Genomic DNA, 25,035 nt, shown 5'->3' on the forward strand with positions numbered 1-25,035 from the left:
CATTTAAAGCAGAGAACCAATTCCTGGAAAGTGGTGCGTTAAGAATGAATGTGGCTGCACTGTGAAGACACAAATGGGCCTCTCCTACTCTGCCACCTTTACCCTCAGAGCTCACACTCCAAATGCTTCATCCTGACCTACAACCTCAGAAGAAGATCCTCTTGAAGCAACAGATGGAAAATGGGAATTAGAGGGCTGAAACGGCCTCCCCACCCCCCACCAGAGGAAGGCCTGACTCTAGGACAATGGGAGTCGCTTATTCCTCTTATCTGGTCTTTGGCAGAGGGCCTGAGCAGTGATGCCTACAGCAGCCAGTGCAGGAGCTGCCTTGGCCTGGACATCCCCAAAAGTTTTGATGTCTTCTAGCAGCTAGAATCCCCCAAAACTGAAGTAGCTCTGGAAGGAGCCTGAAAAGTCTTCCCCAAAAGTCAGGAAAAAGAGCCTATAAGCAGAGGGTGAAAAATTATTATGAGGCCCTGCAAGACAGACTGCAGAACTTGCCCAATCAACTCTCATAAGGTGATGGGGCCTGCCATTTGGAGCCTCTGTGTTTACGATATGGAAAACTAGCACTGAGCCCGGCACACAATATTTTATTGAATAAAGGAAATGATTGTTCTAATCAGGGACAACTGTTTTTATTGTTGGCTTGAGAGTGTACAGAAAGATGGTTCACTCTAGATTTAGAGATGGTGATAAAAATGAGTCTAGATTTGAGTTTATTATTTATTTATTTTTATTTTTGAGACGGAGTCTCGTGCTGTCGCCCAGGCTGGAGTGCAGTGGCGCAATCTTGGCTCACTGCAACCTCTGCCATCCAGGTTCGAGCGATTCTCCTGCCTCAGCCTCCCGAGTAGCTGGGATTACAGGCGTGCATCCCTACACCTGGCTAATTTTTGTATTTTTAGTAGAGATGAGGTTTCACCATGTTGGCCAGGCTGGTCTCAAACTCCTGACCTCAGGTGATCTGCCGGCCTCGTCTTCCCAGAGTGTTGGGATTACAGGCGTGAGCCACCGTGCCCGGCCTAGATTTGAGTTTAAAGAGGACTTGCAGAGAGAAATAGAACTGACATCAGAGAATACATTCAAATCAACTGAATTTAAAGGGAAAAAATGCAATTTCTCCTAAATTCCATTCAAAGCCAAAACATTCAGATTTTCTGACACCAACTTAGCAAATGTTTAAAATACAAGGGTATACTTCTTATTGATAAGTTACCATGGGTTCCACTAGTAGAGCTGGAGAGATAAGCAAACATGCTGGGTGAACCCTAGAGTAAGCCTGAGACTATGGCTGCACAGACAGAAGAGAACACAGAACAAAACAGAAACTCAAAGGTTTCCTCATCCAGGGCAGTCTTCATGAAGACAGTTCAAATTCCAAACTGTTAGATCATTAAAGGAATAGGCATGTGACTAGCCCTATGAATTATTCAAATTCTTATAAATAAGAAGACAATAATGGCTTAGCAGTTGAGGTAATTACATAGTAAAATTCTATTTTTCTTCACATTACGGAGACTGAGTCTAAATAAATATGAGGGTGGGGGACCCATTACTTTAAATTTTCAGTGAAAAAGTTACAAGTCATATATAATGGCTTAATACTGGCTAGTCACTCCATTCTGATGAGCTCCTGCCCATCAGAATATTTGCTATTTAAAGAATCTTTGTTGGCATGTTAAGTGAAAAATGTGTTCCTCCTAAGTTTCTTCTGAAGTCTACACTTAGAGTCTTGTATATAGTGGTCCTTGTAAAAGAAGCACTAGTGGTTGTGATGATGAACAAGTTTTGAGAACGTTTAGCTATAAAAGACCCTCTCTGTAAGAGACATCAACAAGGTCTCTTATGAAAAACAAGAAGTAGAAAACCAGACAAAACTCTCACTCTCACAAGCATTATTAGAGGGCTTTCTTATAACTATGGTAATTTTTCCTTAATCCCATTGCTTGTTCTGTGCTACCCACTTGTAGCAGAAACACTGGGAGAGGATATTACAGTTTAAGTATGTCAGAATGAAATAGATATTCTTGGCCCTGTTAAGGCAATGAAAGTCTGCATCTTAAAACTCTATTTTCCATTTGTTTAGAAGCTTGTCTTAGTCTGTTTTCTGTTGCCGTAACAGAATATCATAGACTGGGTAATATATAAAAAAATCTATTTCTTACAGTTCTGGAGGGTGGGAGGTCCAAGACCACCCCAATATCTGGTGAGGGCCTTCTTGCTGTGCCCTAACATGGCTGAGGGCACCACATAGCAAGAGGGCAAGAACATGCGTGTCAGCTCAGGTCTCTCTTCCTCTTATAAAGCCACCAGCCCCATTATGGTGGCCCCACCCTGATGATTTTATCTAATCCTAATTACTTTCCAAAGGCCCTACGTTCAACTGACATACAGATTTGGGGATTAAGTTCCCAACACATGCAATGTGGGGAACAGCAAATCATAGTAGACATCTATAATAAAAAATTAAGTAATACATATGAGGTCCTTATCATAGAAGACATAGTGAAGAATGCTCACCAAACTGGTAAGGGGAATGGTGGAGAGGAAGAAGGAAACGATGACTGAGGTTTCTACCTTGCATAACTGGGTGGTTACAATGCTGTAAACCAAGAAGCATATAGGAGAAGCAATTTATGGGTCCACTGAGGGTGATAAAGGTAATGGGTTTGAAATCTGGGAAAGACATATTAAAGAGGCCAGGCACGGTGGCTCACGCCTATAATCCCAGCACTTTGGGAGGCTAAGGAGGATTGCTTGAGGCCAGGAGTTCCAGACTAGCCTGGGCAACAAAACAACCTCATCTCTCTTTAAAAAAAAAAAAAAAAAGACGTTATCAAGGAAGAAACAATTCAAACAGAACATAAAGAAGTCTAAAAACAAAAGTTTTCTAATACTATTAATAATATCTAATTTCTAAAGGTAAAATTCCTTGTATTACAATACAGCATTCTCCCAAGATAATTCATTTACTTTTAAATGAGGATATTATTTACAAATATCTTATCAATGTTTCTAAAAAGATAAATGGAGAGTCTTAAGAAGTAATGGTGCTTATTTCTTGAGGCGCAAAGTTATTTCTGGCATAACTTCACATTACTGCACAGCACCCAGCAAAATATGGGTGATCTCTAACCTCTCTTGAGATCTGAGTCTGAGTGTTCTCCTAATAATATATGTATCACTGTCATATATATCAGTAAGATACTTGGTTATTAAAGTATTTTATTATCTAAGATTTTTAGAGATCATTTCTTAAAACTCAGATTCTCTTTATCAGTTGTCTCATTCTGTCTTCCCTGAACAGATGATAAAATATATCCTTTGGGTTCACTGTACATGCCCCTCTGCCAAGAAAATAACATTTCAGAGGAAAAGGTTATGTCTTCTATGTAGTAATCATTATTGGAATGTCATGTCAGCAGTAATATCTTCCTGACATCTCCCACACCACAAATACAGTATTTTCTAGATTAACAGAATATGCAAATAAATTATCCCTAACAATTTTCTATTTTTAGTTTTCCTGTACTTTTCTTTTTTATTTTTAAGAGGCAGAGTCTCACTGTGTTGCTCAGGCTGAAGTGCAGTGGCACAATCATAGCTCACAGTGCCTGGGCTCAAGCAATCCTCCAAGCCTCAGCCTCCCAAGTAGCTAGAGCAGGCGTGTGCCACCATGTCCAGCTAATTAAAAACATTTTTTTTCTGTAGAGACAGGGCCTCACTAATGTTGTCCAGGCTGGTCTTGAACTCCTGGTCTCAAATGATCCTCCTGCCCTGGCCTCCCAAAGTGCTCAGATTACAGGCACGAGCCAGCACACCCAGACGTGACTTTACTTTCTAGAGCTATCTTACAACAATTGATTTCCTCATATAGGTACTAGGTACTGGTCAAGATAGGCTGTCATCTGATCCCTGAGTTGTCTACTTGAAAAGCATTTCTTACTCCTACCTCAGGGCTCTTCCCTTTGCCTGTACCACTCTTCTGAAACATCTTCACATGTTTCATACTCTCATTTTTACTGAAGTCTTTGCTCAAATACTACCTCTTGGAGAAGACTTCCCTAGTTAGCCTATATAAAATAACATTCCACCCCATCATTCACTATCCTCTTTCTTCAGTTTATTTTCTTTACAGTAGTACTTTTCAGCACTTGAATTTCATTTATTCAACACTAAATCCTCACCACATAATACAGTACCTGGCACTTAGGAGGCATTAAGTTGAAAACTGCTGAATGAAATTAGTTTTAAAAAATAAACATTTAGTAAGGAAAGGCTTATCTGTAATCATTCTTCAAGATTTTGAGTCCAAAAACTATTTCTTGGGATCCATATTCCTTCACAGTCTAAGCCTCTTAGAAGAGTGTGATTAAAAAATTGCGGCCGGGCACGGTGGCTCAATCCTGTAATCCCAGCACTTTGGGAGGCCGAGGTGGGCGGATCATGAGGTCAGGAGATCGAGACCATCCTGGCTAACACAGTGAAACCCCGTCTCTACTAAATATATTAGCCGGGTGTGGTGGTGGGCGCCTGCAGTCCCAGCTCCTCGGGAGGCTGAGGCAGGAGAATGGCGTGAGCCTGGGAGGCGGAGCTTGCAGTGAGCTGAGATCGCACCACTGCACTCCAGCCTAGGCGACAGAGCCAGACTCGGTCTCCAAAAAAAAAAAAAAAAAGAAAAGAAAAGAAAATTGGATTAGTACTTGGAGACAAAAGATTTCCCAGCAAAAAGCCTCATGGATCACAGCGTACATATACCCTCAAATACGACTTGTGGAAATGTTTCCATAAGCAATAAAGTAAATAATTTTTAAAAACACACTGCTTCCTCAATAATTAAACATAGAATTATATGATCCAGCAATTCCATTTGTGGATATATACCAAAAAAAGTGAAAACAGGGACTCAAACAGATGTGTACACCCACGTTCATAGCAAAATTATTCACAACAGCCAAAAGGTAGAAGCAACTCAGGTGTCCACAGATAGATGAATGGGAAAACAAAATGTGGTGTATACATAGAGTAGATTATTCAGCCTTAAAAAGGAAGGAAATTCTGACACATGCTGAAACACAGATGAACCCTAAGAACATTATGTTAAGTGAAATAAGCCAGTCACAAAAGGACGAATATGGATTCCACTTATATGAAGTACTTAGAGTAATCAAATTCATAGAGACAGAAAGTAGAATGATGGTTGTCAGGGGCTGGGAAGTTAGTGTTCAGTAAGCACAAAGTTTCAGTTGTGGAAAATGAGAAAGTTCTGGAGATGGTGGTGATGGCTGCACAACAATGTGAATGTACTTAATGTTGCAGAACTATATATACACTTAAAACTGGTTAAAATGGTAAATGTTATGTATTTTTAAGTGACAACTTAAAAAATGGAAAAAACCTCACAAAAAAACATTAAAACAGAAAAGCAATGACATACCTTCCCTCTCCACTCCCTTTTTTAAACATTCCCCCCAACTTCATGTTCCTTTTAATGACTGGAGTGGGAGTATCTTACATCAGAATGGGAATACAGTTTACCAAGGGCTTTTTCATGTGTTAAGTCATTTTATTCTCACAATAACTCTTCCATGTAGACAGCACAGGCATATTCTCTATTCTCCAAATGAGGAAATCAAAGTAGAGACTTTAAAGTGACTTATCCAAAGTCAAATAAAGAGTAAAATGGGCCAGGTGCAGTAGCTCACGCCTGTAATTCCAGCACTTTGGGAGGCCAAGGTGTGTGGCCTAGGCGACAAGGGCAAAACTCCTCTGTCTCCAAGAAAAAAAAAAAAAAAAGAGTAAAATGGCAAAGCCAAGACCAAAGACCAGGCCTTCAATCCCTCATCTAGTGTGTGTCTTATCCCCCCAACCTCCACACCCCTGCTAAACAAGAAAGCGTCTCAAAAGTCTTCAGTGCTATACCAACCTTTCTGAAGGAAGCTGCCACGTCTACCTCATGCTTCTGTGTCCACTGTGCTGCTGTTTCTATTACTCAACCCTTAAGTCTCCAGTTTCTACTTTATCACCCAACTGAGGTAAAGGGACAGATCTTAATCTCTCTAGTGCTGTGTATTGTTGAACAGTAAAATGTTTCTTGATTGTGATTAATACTCCATAAATATCAAATCTCCTAGCATTCAAACACAGAGGACAATTAAATGACTAAGCTTCTCTAATCTCATCCCTTCCTATTACTTGTTTTTCCTTCCTTTGCAGGAGATACTTTTGTAATTTTTGTAATAAAAATGAAAAAATATACAATAAAAAAGTGGAGAAAATAGTTAATGGATCTCTACCCATTGCCAAGTTTCAACCAACATTTACCAATTGGCAGGTGTTTTTTTTTCCCCCTTTAGAAATGGGGTCTTGCTCTGTTGCAGAGGCTGGGGTGCCGTGGCACAAACATAGCTCACTGCAACCTCAAACTCCTGGACTCAAGTGATCCTCCTGCCTCAGCTTCCCAAAGTGCTGCAATTACAGGTTTAAGTATCAACTATATCCCAGTCCACTATCTACCCAATCCCAGTAGAATATTCTCAAGCAAATCTCAGATAGCATATTATTTCAACCTGTAAATATTTCCATATTTACCTCTAAAAGGATGTAAAGCAACTACAGACTATCATATCTAAAATAAACAATAATTCCTTAATATGAAACTCCTGGGCAGTGTTAACATTTCTCAAATTGTTTTTTCTTTGTTTGAATTAGGATCCAAATAAGGTCTACACACTGTGACTGGATGACTATGTCTCTTCAATCTCTGCATATGGGTTCCTCCCCCTTTACAATTTTTTTTTGTTGAAGAAATCAGGTTACCTGGTTGTTTCCTATAGTTTGGATTTTGCCAAATGTATTACCATGATGTAGTTTAATAATGTGCTTCTGACTCTTGTATTTACAGTAAATTGATAGAGACCAGCGTGGGTAACGTGGTGAAACCCCATCTCTACTAAAATAATAAAAATTGGCCGGGTGTGGTGGCACGCACCTGTAGTCCCAGGTACTCGGGGGCTGAGGCACAAGAATTGCTTGAACCTGGGAGGTGGAGGTTGCAGTGAGCTGAGATAGTACCATTGCACTCTAGCCTGGGCAACAGTGACTCTGTTTCCAAAAACAAACAAACAAAAAAACCAAAAAACTTTTTTTTTTTTTTTTTTTTGCCAAGACTGCTTCACAGGTGGCAGGTAGTATGTACTTCCAACAGTTAAGTTCAAAAGTCTATTGAATTCCCTTTTTTTGATATTAACAGTTATCAATGATCACCAACTAAAGCAATCCATTAACGGGGTTGAAAAACGATCACATGATAGTCTATCATTCTTTCTTTATTCACTAGCTGGAAAAATTCTATAAAAAAAACTCATCAACTATTCAGTTGTCCTGATGCAGTCTGTATAGAAAGGACAGAATAAATGAGTAATTTTTTACTTTTATTTACTAATTTTCAAAACAATTAGTAATAGCTTCCTAGCATCCTTAAAGACAATCAGTGAGTTTTAAAAAGTTATGAATTAATAGACTTACATCTATGTGACAGGTTTTAATCCTTTGTAGTTATTCTTATTGAAGTTCAAACTGTCCCATCTTTGGACAGTAGAGCCTTATTCAAATTGGTTCCTGAGACCTTATGACATAATCCTAACCTCTGCCTCCGAGAGCAGAGGTTACCTTACCTTTCTGGTATTACAACTTATTCCAGGCATATCTTGTATTTTTCTTGCCTTTGACTTGGCACTGGTCATTTCCTTAAAGAAGCCCTAATTCCCTTTAGTGGGAAATGGTATTCAGAAACCACAATCTCAGTAATAGGGATGCTTAATGCCTTTTCAGTACAAAGATCTAAGACATTATATACACACATATCTACATAAACATGTACATAGATACATAAATGTACATTATCATTAGTTTATACTGTTGCTTCCAATTCAAATTCAGGTTTATAGGGTTTTTACTCAATCTCATTATCTTATATCATTTCTCCTTTCTCACATATGAAAACCCTCTATTCTCAATGCAGCCTACATAATAGTTTATCACAAAATATTCACACAACCTGAGAATAAAAATATTAACACTATCATCACCAATATGATCCATGAAAATATTTTTAATTTTTTTTTTTTTTTACAATTCTTTTTATCTTTAGGATATACCCAACTTGGAATATTCTACAAATTACTGTATATGTAAGTCACTTGGAATGGTTTACTCTGTGTGATTATATAACCAATGGGAAATCCACTTTATAAGATTTATTTTGATTTTTAGTCATTGCATTTTTAACTTTGTTATATAATTAAACATTTAAGTGAGTATAAAGTTAAAATAAAAAAAAAAGATACATCCAAAGAATACAAATTGCTGTCCCTGTCTACTCTATTCTAGTCCCTGCCTGCCCCATATGTAACTTTACTTATACTTTATACAACATTTTACATTCCCTGTTTTTTTGGCTATTATCCGTTGGTTCCCTACTATGAGCAATGCTGAAATTAAGTTAGTAACTTCCTTCTCCTGTCTCTACCCCAGTATTTTAAGTGATATATTTTTATTTACAGTGAATACCTATAACCAGTGAGCTTATTTTACATTTCATATATTCTCCCCACATTCTTGATAATTAAACTTTACCTATAGAGTGGTTACATACTACACTCTCAGTCTTAGTTCTACCAATAAAATATATATTTAATGCTCATCATCAGCTTAAAGTACCAGTTAAAGAGTGTTAAGAATACAGGTCTACAATTCTTTTTCAAATAGAAATCTTTGGAGCCACATACATTCAAAAATTCACTTTTTTCTTTTGCTTTCAAAGAGAAATAATATGGTTATAGTAAACATACCTGACAGCAATAATTTAAGCATATCCTTAGAATGACTTTGTATGGCAGATGCACCTGAATGTGTGTTCTGAGCTAGGGAATTCAGGAGTGGCCAACCCAGAGATTCCCTCCTTGTCTATAAGGACATCTGAGCCCCCAACCTGTCTCTTGGAACACAAGCCCTACAGGAGACTGAGGCTCCAAGTTTTGGGTAGAATAAAGAGTGCCAGGTGGAGGTTGCTAGGTGGAAGTGCTAAGTGGAAATGCTATATAAACTGCATGCCTATGGCAGGCAGTTGTGGTTCTTCTGCCCAGCCCACTGCCACTGGACTGTATATAAGGCAGTTCTCCCGTCCAGCCCACTGCCACTGTACCCTCTCCTTTGTATGTAAGCCCCCAATAAAACCCCACATCTCTTTTGCCGGCTCTGGGTCTCTTCTTCGGCCTCTTGAACCTAATGCCATGCCCACTGGAGTGACAGAAGTTTGGCATGACATATGGTATACCAAACATTTACTGTATACTATATAACTATCCCCAGGGAGATCTGGCACAGCACCCTAATTTGTTTGTAATAATTTGTTTGTAACATCAAACAAATTAATATTCTGCAGTAAAATATACTATTTAGACTAACCTATGTTAGTTTAGGTTCGGTTTTGCTGGCAGACAAATCTAGGTCATGTCAGTGTTTGCCATCAAATTAAGTCCTCCCATAACCCCTAAAATAGTTTTCAGAACTTTTGGGATTTCAAATTATAAGTAAGAGAATGTGGACCTGTAGTTAAAAATAGTCTTTTCCCTTATCCACCCACCACCAAAAATAGTCAAGTCAGAAAACATTTCTATTCATGTTAAATGAAAATCTTTAAATTGACATTTTCTATAAAATTCCATTGCATTACTGCAAATGAAGATTAGTTAGTTGTTAGGGTTTTGTTAGGAGAATCTTATTAAGCCATGTGGTTTTTTTCTAATATAACCTATTATAATTCATAACAGCTGTCAGTCCCCTGCTGATACTTTTTTCCCCATTAAAAATGCATTTTTAAAAGAATATAAAAGTACATCACATTCCACTAATATATGCAACAATCGAATAATTTTTCAAACTAGAAAATGATGGAAATACAGAGAAATGAGTTGAGTATGGTTCTTAGAATTCTGAGTCTAGTGAAGAGGAAAGTATCTGAATTTTTGACTTATCCTAAAATGAAACTACACACACACACACACACACACACACACACACACACAATCACACATATATACACACACATTTATTTTAATTTGAGAAAGGGTCCTGCTCTGTTGTCTAGGCTAGAGTATAGTAGTTCACTCATAGCTCATTGCAGCCTCCAACTCCTGGGCTCAAGCAATCCTCCTGCCCCAGCCTCCCAAGTAGCTAGGACTATAGGTGTGTGCCAGCGTGCCCAGCTAATGAACAACAAAATTTTTTTTTTTTTTGGTACAGACGGGTCTCACTATGTTGCCCAGGCTGGTCTTGAACTCCTAGCCTCAAGTGACCTTCCTGCCTCAGCTTTGCAAAGCACTGGGATTACAAAGCATGAGCCACCTCACCTGGCTGAAACTATATTCTTAGTGTTCTTGTAGTATTTCTAGTTATGAAATACTTCTTAAATAAAATATCTGCTATAAATGCATAGTAAGCAAGGTCTGAAATCTGTTAACTCTTAGCTGTTTAAATGATTTAAAAAACATAATCTCCAAAGAGTAACAAACCCAGAGTAGTCAGTAGGGAAGTCTTGTAGATTATCATTCTTAAACAGGGTAGGAAAACCCAAACCAGTGAAGAAATCATTAAAAGAGATACTGAATTATTAGAAAAAAATATTAAATGTGGATATGACTATCTTATTTATGAAAACTAAATTTACACTAAATCCTAAAATTAAAAACTATTATGCACTCATATGTATATCAAAATTTAAAATTTGGCCAGGTGACAGTTTTATACAAAACTATTTTCATTTCATAATATAGCAAGGTTGCAAAAATATGGCCACACACAAAATTTTACTTTACCTTAAAAAAATTCCTACATAGAACTGTGTTGTATAGATATGTAATAATTTACTTAACCAAATCCATATTGAGGGTCACATCCAATTTTTCAATATTATAAATAGCACTGCAAGTCTTTTACACATATCTTTGCCCACTCTGCCCAGTCTAAATTATGTCATTAGAATAAATTTCAAGAAGATTCTTGGGTTAAAGGATATACATGTTTCTAATTTGAAGACATATTGTCAGAAGAGTTGCAATTTACACTCCTATCAGCTCTGCATGAGAATGTCCAAAATGCTGGACATTATTCATCTTTGCAATCTGATGGAGGAAAAATTATGCCATTGCTATTTTAATCTCTTAAAAATTAATAAACTGATATTCATTAGTCCCCATGTTGCTTTATATTCTTTGCCCATTTTTCTATTTGGCTGTTCTTTTTACAAATTTGCAACATTTTCTATATTAATGTTAAAATAATAAACGGAAAATATTCATACGGGCCTTTTAAAACTATGATAGCTTTTGTCACAAATGTTTAAATTTTTCATATAGACAACTCTGTCTTTTCCTTTGTAACTTCTGGGTTTCCTCCTTCTTACTGCAAACATTTTTACATCAGAAAACTAATTTATATATAAATATTTAAGCAGTTAGGACAATATTTGAGAAAGTGCTTTCAATTTGTGTTGTAATCTCCAAATTAGAGTATGTGGGTAAATATTCTTCTATTAAGGAGGAAGTTAACATTAAATTAAGAGTTTATAACACAGTTATTATTGTTTCAAGTCATTTGGTATACTAACATTTAACATTTTATTAAGTCCTAAGTATTAAGCTAACTCAATTACCTGCTGTTGCTAGGAAGCGAGATGGATAAATTTTCCAAATAACTGGAGGATGCTTTTGTTAGCCATTGAGGTGTACAATGTTAGGCTTGACTTTTTACTGAATTTCTTGAGAACGTTGTGCTTAACTGACACTATATTACTTGTAGATACATCTGTGCAGCCATCAGTGGTTCTGACATGTAGAACATTTTCATCACCCCCTAAAAGAAGTTCCATTAGCAGTCACTCACCTCAATTCCCCAATCCTAGGCAACTACTAATCTAATTTCTACCTCTATTATTTTGGACATTTTATATAAATGGGATCATATAATAATGTGGGCTTTTGTGACTGGCTTCTTTCACTTTAGCATGATGTTTTCAAGGTCCATCCACATTGTAGCATTTATCAGTACTACTTTATTCCTCTTTATTTGCTGTATAATATTTCATTGTATGGATATACCACATTGTATTTGATTTATTCATTCATCCATCCATCCATTGATGGACATTTGGGTTGTTTCCACTTTTTGGTTATTATGAATAATGCTGTTACAAACATTTGTACAAGTTGTGTAGACATGTACTTCCACTTCTCTTAAGTATATGCCTAGGAGCAAAATGTATCTTTTTTTTTTTTTTTTTGAGATGGAGTTTTGCTCTTGTTGCCCAGGATGGAGTACAATGGTGTGATCTCGGCTCACTGCAACCTCTGCCTCCCGGGTTCAAGCAATTCTCCTGCCTCAGCCTCCCGAGTAGCTGGGATTACAGGCATCTGCCACCATGCCCAGCTAATTTTTTTGTATTTTTAGTAGAGATAGGGTTTCACCATGTTGGCCAGGCTGGTCTCGAACTCATGACTTCAGGTGATCTACCCACCTTGGCCTCCCCAAAGTGCTAGGATTACAGGTGCAAGCCACCATGCCCAGTCTTTTTTTTTTTAATTTTTTTTAAAAAATAGAGACAGTCTCACTCTGTCACTCAGGCTGAAGTGTGGTGGCACAATCATAGCTCACTGTAGCTTCAAACTCCTGGGCTCAAGTGATCCTCCCGAATAACTGGGACTACAGTATGCACCACTGTGCCCAGCTAATTTATTTTTATTTTTTCTGTTGAGGTCTTGGTGTGTTATAAAGGTTGGTCTTGAACTCTTGGCCTCAAGTGATCCTCCCACTTTGGCCTCTCAGAGTTTAAGGATTACAGGTGTGAGCCACCATACTGGGCATAACATGTATTTTTAATTATTGTTCCCTTTTTCCACTCCCCACTATAAGGTAAACTATATAAGGTCAGGGTTTTTCTTTTATTCACTGTTGTATCTCCAGTGCCTAGAACTGTGTCTGGCAAATATAGTAGGTGCTTAACAAATTTTGCTGAATCTATGAATGAAATAGTAAAAACGTTTGCTTGCTCTGACACAGTAATTGAGCAGAGATGGAGGGACAGTTCATATTCAAGATGGTAAAGTGATCATAATATTGCTGTGGCAAACTGAGAAAATGCCCATGTAACATAGACAATTGTAATTTGATCCTTAGTACTAGATTAAATCTGGGCAGAGTAAGCAAAGTGGGTCAGGGAAAAAAAACGTGAGATGAGGCAGGACATGTAGGCAGTCACCAAGTCATGCACATTCCTGTGAAAAGGCTAAGAGTCCTGTAGTTAAGAAATCTGTTTAACTTTGTTTAATTCATCCTTTCCAAACTTAATCACAGAAACCTTCATAAGAAAGAGTGCAGTGGTACGATCTCAGCTCATTGCAACCTTTGCCTCTTGGGTTCAAGCGATTACCCTGCCTCAGCCTCCCGAGCGGCTAAGATTACAGCCATGTGCCACCACACCCAACTAATTTTTTATTTTTAGTAGAGATGGGGCTTCACTATGTTGGCCAGGCTGGTCTCGAACTCCTGACCTTAAGTGATCTGCCTGCCTCAGCCTCCCAAAGTGCTGGGATTATAGGCGTGAGCCACTGCGCCCGGCCGGAATATACTTTCAATCATATCATAGTAGTCAACCTTTGCACTGAGCTAATGTTGATACTTTTTTTTTTTTTTAAGAGAAACAGGGTTTGGTATGTCGCCCAGGCTGGAGTGCAGTGGTTAATCCTAAGTGCAATTATTGTGCACTACAGCACTCAGCCTCCCAAGTAGCTGAGACTACAGAGGCACACACTACCACACCCAGCTAATCTTGATACATTAGGAAAGAAAACAACGGTGGAGAAAAAAAGAACATAACATAAAGTGATAATTGATTTTTTACTTATTTAAATTTTGAATTCAGAAACAGCAAAAGGTACTATGCCAAAAAGACAACATAGCAGGCCTAAGACTGCTATCTTTAGAAAGGCCTGCATGCAAAGATGGCCCTTGGCAGGTCTCTGGGAAATTGGATTTTGGGAGTGTTCCCATAATTCCCTGACTATTTAATAAGGGTGATTTACTATGCCTAAACTGTTTGTGCAAACAATATGGTTTATGCTGAATATCTGCTTTCCTTCTGGGAGCTTGGAATTTGGTACAAGCTAGACAGAGGGTGCCTATGTGATTATACCCCAATAAACACCCTGGGCAGTGAGTCTCTTATAAGCTTCCCTGGAAGACAACATTTCACAAGGATTGTAACAAGTCAATGCATCCTACGCGGCTTCACTGGGATAAGACTCTTGAAGCTTGTGCCTGGTTTCCTCTGGACGTTGCCCCATGGGCATTTTCGCTTTGTATTTTTTTTGCTGTAGTAACTCTTAGCTGAGTCATACTATATGTTGAGTTCTGTGCTTCCTCCTCACCAAACCTGGGGGTGATCTTGCGGATTCAAAATACAGGCACAAAACGGGATATGATAAAATGTCTTTCTCTACTGTCCTCCCAAAATGACATTATATTGTTTTGGGATAAATATTCAGCTGGTAATCAAGAATAAAGCTATTTTTAAAAATCTGCAAGGAAATTACCATAAAGATCAGAATAGCAGTAACCTTTAAAAGGAGGAAGAAAGTGGTTATGATTGGGAAGAGGCATGAGGGGGGCTTTTGGAATACTTACAGTGCTCTATTTCATGGCCAGAGTGATGTCAGCTTTAAAATAATGTTTTTTTAAGTTAGATTTATTTAATGTACTTTGTATGTGTATTACTTCACAATAAAATGTTTTGTTGGAGCTACTACAAATTTGAAAGTTTCAGCTGAACCCTTGAAATTAAATCCATTTCCTAAAGAAAAGGATCTAGAAGAATGAATGAAAAGCTAAGTGTTGAGTCATAGGAAATGCTGATGATTTGGGGGCTGGAAAAGAAAGAGAACTGAGTAAAGGAGAGTATAAAAACACAAATCAGACTGGGTAGTGACCAGGATAGCCTGCATGTAAGAAGTGGCACTTGAATGAGGTTTACATCAAACTGAGAAATCATCCCTTTCCTATATGCTACCAGAAAGTTTGGGATACACTTCAATTTCCATACTCACTCTGTAAGAGCAATGAATTAAAATTTCCATGTCCTCAAACAGACTAAGTTCTTGGAGTACTGGGACTGTGTCTTATTTCAGTAACTATATAGTCCAAAGACCTTAAAGAGTGCCTGGCTCATAACGAACCCTTAATAAATGAGGTGCAAGCTAGATGCGGGGGCTCACGCCTGTAAACCCAGCACTTCAGGAGGCCGAGGTGGGCAGATTGCTTCAGCCCAGGAGTTTGAGATCAGCCTGGGCAACAGGCTGTTACAAAAAAACAGAAAAATTCGCCAAGTGTGATAGTGTGTGCCTGCAGTCTCAGCTACTCCGGAGGCTGAGATGAGGGATCACTTGAGTCCAGGCATTTGAGGTTACAGTGAGCAGTGAGCCATGACTGCACCACTGCACTACAGCCTGGACAACAGAATGAGACACTGTCTCTAACAATAACAACAACCAAAACCAAAAAACAACAGACAAAATCTGCTCTGGTCCTTGCAGGATGTTAAACTATGGAGAAATATAGGCAAGGAGATTTCAATACAGAGACCAGCTTAACAATTAATAGATATCACAACAGCCAAGATGTGGAAACAACCTAAATATCCATTGACAGATGAATGAATAAAGAAAATGTAGTAAATACATAAATGGAATACTATTTGGCCTCAGAGAAGAAGGAAATATGGTGACAACATGGATGAACCTTGAAGACATTATGCTAAGTAAAATAAGCCAGTCACAGAAAGACAAATACTACATAATTCCACTTATATGAGGTCTTTATCTAGGCCTGGTCATTACCCAGAATGATAAGTGAGTATCTAAAATAATCAAATTCATAGAATCGAAGAGTGAAAGGGGAGTTGTCAGGGGCTGGGGGGAAATGCAGACTTATTAATCAACGGGCATACAGTTTCAGTTAAGCAAAATGAGTAAGCTCTAGAGATCTACTGTACAACACTGTACCTATAGTCAACAATAATGTATTGTATACTTAAAAATTTGTTGAAAGGGTAGATCTCATATTGTGTTCTTACCAAAAAAAATAAAAATGAATAGGACAACACATATGAGAGACAACATTAAGCACTAGGAAATGAGGCAAGAAAGGAAGACTTGAGAGTTGAATAACAGAGAACAAGAAAGAAAGGGGCAAAGATGATGCCATTGTCCAACTAGGTAGAACTGATAAAGAAAATAAAAATGGAACGGCCAGAGAGATAGAGGAAAACTAGAAAAATGTGGTCTCAATAGAATTCAAAAGAGGAAACTGAACTGCAAGTGAAAACTTGGAGAGAACAGATGTTTTACAATTCTTTTTTAGAAGTATGGCTGCAAAAAGGTTCAGAGAAATGAGGCAGTAGCAGAGAGGCAGGAAGTCTGAAAAGGTAAGTGTGAGAGGGAGGGGAAGATATTAAAACAAATGAGTAAGTGGACAGAATGATGTAGGAAAGCTGCAATTTTCAACTGGGGTGATTGTTCTCCCCTTCCACCCTCCCTAACCCCCACACTTGACAATGTCTGGAGACATTTCAAATTGCCACAACTGGACAGGGGAAAGGGGAAGGATACTATTTGCCTCTAACAGGTAGAAGCCAAGGATGCTGCTAAACATTTCACAAGGCACAGGACAGTCCTCCACAACAAAGAATTACCTGGCCCCAAATGTCAAGAGTGCCAAGGTTGAGAAGCCCTGTAATAGAGTGTAAGGAATACAGAAAAGAAAGATTAATCAAAGAAGTCAGGCTTTGGCAAGAACATTCAGAGAGGAGGAAGACTTTTTTGGTTCTCTGTCTACTGACCTGATTGAGAATTACAGCAGAATTACAGCTAGAAGTAGCTTTCAGATTTTTCATTTGAAAAGTCTACTGAAGTATAATGACATTCCAACTTCTCCAACAAACACATGAACACAATGTGCATGCCTTACATCATTATCCACCATGTGACTACTGGACACAGATAAACCACTTTTTTTTTTGAGGTAACAGTCAAGGTTTAAAATATGGGATACTTTAAAAAACCTCTACACACAGAGAAATTACACCTCTGTAATTTGTTAAAAGGTTAAACAGTATAAATGATCAGAGTCCATCTACTAGTATAATTTTATTTTATACAATTTCCTACATACCCTTTAGAAACTAATTAAAAATGATCTATATTTTAACAGTTCACAGAGGGATAATATGAGAAAGAGGCCTACAAAGCACTAGTTTTTACAGTTGCAAAGTGATACCGTTACGCAGTATAGGGCAAAAAGGAATTAAGAGAGGTTATAAAAAATGAGCTTGTAACCATGATTAACTTGATCATAAAAATTTCACTTTGTATAATAAGTAGGCATGAAAACATTACTGCATTTACTGACACACTACATGAAAGGTACTGAGAAGAATTTAATCAAAACACTCTCTCCCTCAAATAAGAATTTTCATTCATTTAAATATTTTCTGAGCACCTAGTATGTGCTAAGCACATGGGGATATAACAATGAACAAGACAGGCATAATTTTTCCTCCAAAGGTGCTTCTTTTAAGGGGGGCAGTGGCTCACACCTATAATCCCAGCACTTTCAGAGGCCTAGGCGGGTGGATCGCTTGAGGTCAGGAGTTCAAGACCAGCCTGGCCAACATGGTGAAACCCCGTCTCTACTAAAAATACAAAAATTAGCTGGACGTGGTGGTGCGTGCCTGTAATCCCAGCTGCTCGGGAGGCTGAGGCAGGAGAATCGCTTGAACCCGGGAGGTGGAGGTTGCAGTGAGCTGAGATCGCGCCATGGCACTCCAGCCTGGGCTACAGAGCAAGACTCCGTCACAAACAAACAAGCAAACAATACCCCAAAGGTGCTCATAGTGGGGCAAACTGTTGAACAGGCAATTACAATGTAGGGGAAGCATAAATCAGTGGCGATAAAGACTTCTGGAGCAAAACTGCCCAAGTTTGGATCTGACTCTGCCATTTCTAAACTGTATGATCTTGGGCAATTTTTTTTTTTAATCTTCTTTGTGGCTGATAATACAACTGTTTATCTTAAACGATTCTTGAGAAAGTGACATTTGGGATGATATCCAAGACTGACAATAGAAAGTGTGAGCTTTCCTCTTTTCTTGGTGAAAATAATAGAAGGAGCGAGAAGAATGCCAAAATAATGCTCCAAACAGCAGTGGGAACTAACTATGAGAAGGCCCACGGAGAGAACAAAACTGGATTCCTGAAGGAAATAAAAGTATTTCTATATAGAGTGCAGCAGGCAGTGGCAAGATATGAGCCATAGGATCCAAAAAGGAATTTGGACTTAAAAGAGTTGTTTGTTGTTTTTTAAAAAAATATGCTATTGCTTATTTTTATTTTAGAGACAGGGTCTCATTCTGTCAACCAGGCTTGGAGTGCAGTGGGGTGATCGCTACTCACCATAACCTCAAATTTCTGGGCTCAAGCGATCCTTCCACCTCAGCCTCTCGAATAGCTAAGAACTACAGGTACATACCACCATACCTGGCTAATTTTTAAACTTTTTTTTTTGTAGAGGTGTGATCTCGCTATGTTGCCCAGACTGGTCTTCAATTCCAGGACTCAAGTGATCCTTTTGCCTTGGCCTCCTAAAGTGTTGGGATTATAGGGGTGAGCCACTAAAACCCAGCCTGCTTATTTATTTAAAAACATACACTATATGCTTAAACATATACTATTACTATTGCTTGATTTAAATGATTTTTTTAAATTCAAGAATTAGTAAGCCCACAATAAAGAACACATAAAAAATACAGAAGAGAGATCTTGGCTTAAATAATTAAAAGTTGAAATTCAAAGAGCATTTACTTAATTTTCAAAGTGGATAGAGAAATATAAAATGAGTAATTTTACAGATGTGGAACTAAAGCACAGAAAAGTTAACTGGGCTTTAGTAAAGTAAAAAGCTAACAACCAGACATCAAAACAAGAAGGTTTTTCTTCATAGGCAAATACATCCTTTCAGAATCATCCAATACACAGTATCATATATTTTTAAAGGTATACTCTATTCCTCTTGTCTTCATTTTAAAAATAACTACAAGGCTGGGTGATGTGGCTCATGCCTATAATTCCAGTGCTTTGGGAAGCCAAGATGGGATGAATTGCTTGAGGCCAGGAGTTCAAGACCAGCCTGGGCAACAACACAGCAGGACCCCATCTCTACAAAAAAAAATGTTTACAAATTAGCTGAGCATGATGGCGTGTGCCTGCTGCCCTAGCTACTCAGGTGGCTGAGGCAGGACAATCTCTTGAGCCTATGAGTTTGAGGCTGCGGTGAGCTATGATAGGGCCACTGCACTCCAGCCTGGGCACAGAATGAGTATCCTGTCTCTTAAAAAAAACAAACACTGCAAAGCTGGGTGTGGCAATCTCAATTACTCAGAAGGCTTGAGGATCGCTTGAGCCCAGGAGTTTGGAACCAGCCTGGGGAACATAGCAAGAACGCGAATAGAAAAAAAAAATTTTTTTAACCCTACAAATTACTATGTTAATGTTTAATTTATTTGACCAAAGCCAATAAATGATGAAATATATACAGTTAGTAAATTGTAACTCTTCTTCCCCATCCTTCCTCCCTTATCAGACATTATTGTTGAAGCATGTGACAGAACTATGACTCTGCAATTGAGGCTATGAGACTTCTGTCATAGCTATCACTAACATTCACTACAAACTCATCCAGTCCTGTCACAAAGCTTTCTGCTTACAAGAAAATTCTCATGTCTGGTCTTAAGCAAGCAAAAAATATTTTAGGCAAGTCTGAAGACAAGAATAGGTCTCATGAAGCATATTATAGAATTTTTCTCTAAAGAATAATTCACAATTGAATCCCAGATGAAACAGAGCTAAATGTAATATTGCTCCTTCCGTAAAGGACTACAGCCAGGAGACTGACATAGTTTTTATCTAAATGAAAATGTCTAGGTAATAATGAGGGGCAAGCAAAAAACAATGTCTGATCTCACTGGTTTTTCCATTTTTACTTTAAAGACAACACCACACGTCATGTTTATTTAAAAAATGGCTTACAATTAGCAGAACAGAAACTCTTTAAAAAACTGCTTTCAAAGCACTCTTTCATGTTACTATTTCATCTTAACTCACTTACTGAATACCTATTACTTGTTGTGTGACACTATTAGACACTGTGCGACATCCCGTACACTTTGGTTCAAACCATACAGTCATGTAGAGGAGTCAGGCATACAAGCAATTATAATACAGGGCAATAAAGAATAGAAGTGTAAAGTTCTAAAAGAACATATGACTATTGTGCAAAGTTCCAAAAGAATGTATGACTGTTGGTAAAGGTATCATAACTTGATCTTGAAAAATAAAGAGGACTGTATCAATCAAGAGATTTTGGGCCAGGTGCAGTGGTTCACACCTGTAATCCCAACACTTTGGGAGACTGAGGTGGGAGGATCACTTGAGACCAGGAGTTCAAGACGCCTGGGCAATACAGGGAGACCCTGCCTCTACAAATAATTTTTTTAAAGTAGCCAGGTGTGGTGGCTACTTCTCAGAAGCCTGAAGCAGGAGGACTGCTGAACCCAAGAGGTCAAGGTTGGAGTGAGCTGTGATTGTATCACTGCACTCCAGCCTGGGTGACAGAGCGAGACCCTGTCTCAAAAAAAAAAAAAAGAGATTTTTGATGGCAAATAACTCCAAAGAACTGTCTGAAACATTAAGAAAATTATCTGTCATGAGAAGTCCTGTGGTGGGGATGGCTCCAGGCCCAATAAAATATGTGGTTAAATGATGTTACCAAGGATCCAGATACCCTCTACCTCTCTGATCTGCCATCTTCAGGAAGTGCTTCATCCCTTGTGATCCCAAGACAGCTGTCGGTAGCAATAGGGGCCTTGTGTTCCCTTGTTCACATACAAGAGAGGAAAGAATCTTCTCCCCCAGAAACAGAATGTCTACTTCCCTTCAAATCTGATCGGTACAAATAAGAGTTTACAGGGAAATGCCATGATTTGACTGGTTTGAACTAATGGAACTCTACTACTGGAGGTGGTGACAAATCAGCTTCTCCAAGTCTGCTGCATGCATGAACAAAAGCAGATTTCTGTTAGGAAAGAAGAGAAAAGTAGACATTAGATGGGCAGCTAACAGAATAGGCAAAGAATAAGAACTCCAAACAATGGGATAAACACACACAAGACAGAGGCACAGGGAACAAGAAACAGCATGGCTGGAGTGACAGGAGACCTAAGGTTGAACACATTCTATAAACTCTTGTGAGTCTGGACTTTATCGACAAGGGAAGTTAACAAAGGTATTTTAAGTAGAGAAGCAGCATGCTCCAATTTTTTTTTTTTTTTTTTTTTTTTTGAGACAGAGTCTAGCTCTATCACCCAGGCTGAAGTGCAGTGGCGCAATCTTGGCTCACTGCAACCTCCGCCTCTTGGGGACAAGCGATTCTCCCGCCTCAGCCTCCCAAGTAGCTGGGATTATAGGCACCTGCCACCACACCAGATTTTTGTATCTTTAGTAGAGATGGGGTTTCGCCATGTTGGCCAGACTGGTCTTGAACTCCTGACCTCAGGTGATCTGCCGACCTCAGGTGATCCGCCCACCTCAGCCTCCCAAAGTGCTGGGATTACAGGTGTGAGCCATCGTGTCTGGCCTGTTTTTTAAGAACATAATTGTCATAGTAATATAGAGAATAGCCAGAGATGGAGAGGTACAGTGGGAGAACAAGTTGCAGAGACTTAGCTGGCAGGCTGTTTAATACGTAGTCCAGACTAATAAGGGAGTGGCAATAGAGAGGGGAACAATGGAGTAAAAAAATACATACAAGGTAGAAAAGCTTCAAGATTTCCATACCTATTTTAACAGATGAGAAAATTAATCTTCAGATAGGTTAAGTGACTTGCTTTAAGATCATAAAACTATAAACATCAGTCAGAATCTAAATGGAGGTTTGATTCCCAGTCTGGTGTTCTATCACAACTATATCTAAAAACCCCAACGATGCTCTAAAAGGGAACTATTTTGAATCCTGTAACTTAAAGAATGTTCTGTGTATTGGATTAAAGTGTTTCCTAGCTATTCCAAGTGTCCCCATCTATTTCAATCTTAACATAATGCTCACATGTCACACAATGACATGGATTTAATGTCAATTTATAATACTAAGTATATTATGTTTCTAAAGTTACTATATTATTTGAAATAGTAAGGGTATCTGAAAGATTCAATTTGTGATGTCAAATTTACAAACTGTCCAAAATTTTAAAATTAAAAAAACAAAAACAAAAAACCACCACAGCGTGGTGGTTCTTAACTTTTGAACTTGTTCTGCAAATAAGTGCTGAATGTTCAAATTTCATTATAAATCTGGAATCAGCAGACACTTGAAAAGTTTCGTTGAAATTATGCCTCAGCTGGGCATGGTGGCTCACACCTATAATCCCAGCACTTTGGGAGGCCAAGGTTGGAGGACTGCTGGAGTCTTGGAGTTCGAGACCAGCCTGGGCAGCACAGTGAAACCCCATCTCCAGAAAAAGTACAAAAGTTAGCCAGGCATAGTGGCACATGCCCATAGTCCCAGGTGCTCAGGAGGCTGAGGTGGAAAGACTGCTTGAGCCCAGGTAGTTGAGGTTCTGGTGAGTCGTGATTGCACCACTGCAGCTTAGGCGACAGAGCAAAAAGCCTCCTTCTGAAACTTTGGATTCTGATAACTAACTTCCACTAGCATTCACCCAAAAAGAAAACTGGGCCAGACATGGTAGCTCACGCCTATAATCCCAGCAATTTGGGAGGCTGAGGCGGGTGGGTCACCTTATGTAAGGAGTTTGAGACCAGCCTGGCCAATGGGGCGAAACCCTGTCTCTACTAAAAATACAAAAATCAGCCAGGTGTGGTGGCGCGTACCTACAGTCCCAGCTACTTGGGAGGCTGAGGCAGGAGAGAATCACTTGAACCTGGGAGGCAGCAGTTGCAGTGAGCCAGGATCACGCCATTGCGCTCCAGCCTGGGCGACAGAGCAAAACTCTGTCTAAAAAAAAAAAAAAGTCAAAAGAAAAACTGTTACCTCACTTTAATAATGATACTATACCTGTTTTAGAAAAAGTCACTTGCCTAATTCTTCTAGAGTGGTGAACTTTGATTTTGCTTTATTACCATTGTACCAAGACTGGGTTAACAGGGAAAATGGTTTTAAATAAAGCCTAGGCAACACTGCAAGGCCCTGTCTCTCACAACAAAAATTAGCCAGGCATGGTGGCACGTGCCTGTATTCCCAGCTACTCGGGAGGCTGAGGCAGGAGGCTTGCTGGAGCCCAGGAGGCCAAGGCAGCAGTGAGTCATGACTACACCACTGCGCTCAGCCCGCTGTCAAAGTGAGACTCTGTCTCAAGAAAATTAAAAACTGGTAAAATAAAAATAAACATTATTTCCATTAAAAAATTATATAATAATATGTTTTTTACTTTACTGGGTTAAACCTTACTCTTCTGCTTCTTGATTCAATTAGCAACTTCACTGAATGCCCCTGTGCCAGGCACAGTGCTAGATACTAGAAATACAAATGTGAGCCAGTTGTACTATAGTTATTCAGACATACATCTGCATAATTATTTGAGTAATGTCAGTCTTCCCCACTAAATAACTATAGTATTATTTTTATCAATCAAAACAGGTCTGTAAATGTACAAAGATGATGCCTAAAACATCAACTTCATGATAATATATTATTCTGTCAATGACTCCAGGATTCTCTCACTCACCAGGCTAGAAATTCTTTCTTTTCAGCACCCACAAATGATTTTTCTTAAAATACACCTGTTAAAACACTCAACAAACCAGGAATATAAGGAAACTACCTGAACATAATCAAGGTCTTATATAAAAAACTCATGTTAGTATCATATTCAACAGGGAAAGACTCAAAACGTTTCCTCTAAGATCAGGAACAAGCCAAGGATGCCTGCTTTTACCACCTCTAGTCGACACAGTACCGGAAGTCCTAGCTGAGATTAGGCAAGGAAAAAAATAAAAGGCATCCAAATTCGAAAGCAAGAAGTAAATTAACTGTTTGCAAATGACACGATCCTATATGTAGAAAACTCCACAAAAAAGATTCCACACACAAAAAAACTATTAGAACTAATAAATCAGTAAAGTTGTAGGATACAAAATTAACACACAAAAATGAGTTGCATTCTTAAACATTAACAATGAACAATCCAAAAGAGAAATTAAGACAAGAATCCTATCTACAATCACATCAAAAAGAATAAAATACTTAGGAATAAACTTAGACAAGGAGACAAAAGACTTTTACACTGAAAACTAAAAAACACTGCTGAAATAAAGACACAAATAAATGGAAAGATATTCCATGTTCATGGACTGGAAGACAGTATTTAGATGTCAACATTACCCAAAGCAACCTAGAGATTCAATACAATTCCTAACAAAATACTAATAGCCTATTTTTTGCAGAAATAGAAAAACCCATCCTAAAATTCATATGGCATCTCAAGGAATCCCAAACTACCAAAACAATCTTGAAAAGAACAAAGTGGAGTCTCACACTTCTTGATTTCAAAAGTTACTATAAAACTACAGTAATTAAAATAGAGTGGTATTGGCATAAAAACAAACTTATGGACCAATGGAATAGAATACACAGCCCAGAAATAAACCCTCAAACTTGTGGTCGAATAATTTTCAACAAAGGTGCCAAGACCATTTAATGGGAAATGGACAGTTTTCTCAACAAATGGTAATGCAAAAACCACGTATATGGTAATAGATATCCACACATAAAGACCTAAATTAAGAGCCAGAACTATAAAATTCTTTAAAAAAAAAAAAAAAAAAAAAAAAAGGCTGGGCACAGTGGCTCACACCT

General features: G+C 38.4%; 1 protein-coding gene across 7 annotated transcripts in view; it reads right to left on the reverse strand.

The window, feature by feature from the left end:
- Positions 1–25,035, reverse strand: part of BTBD7 (BTB domain containing 7) — a 95,487-nt gene that overhangs the window by 66,076 nt on the left and 4,376 nt on the right. For 2 of the 7 annotated variants that reach the window (XM_047431565.1, XM_047431567.1), the window contains exon 1: positions 958–24,985. The exons of 4 other annotated variants lie outside the window; for them this stretch is intronic. The gene's annotated coding sequence lies outside the window, so the exon portion shown is untranslated. Of the gene's footprint in view, positions 1–957; positions 24,986–25,035 lie in introns of those variants that run through there. One more of the 7 variants, XM_047431566.1, reaches the window with a different exon arrangement.

Source organism: Homo sapiens, chromosome 14 (assembly GCF_000001405.40).
Source record: "Homo sapiens chromosome 14, GRCh38.p14 Primary Assembly".
Lineage (NCBI taxonomy): Eukaryota > Metazoa > Chordata > Mammalia > Primates > Hominidae > Homo > Homo sapiens.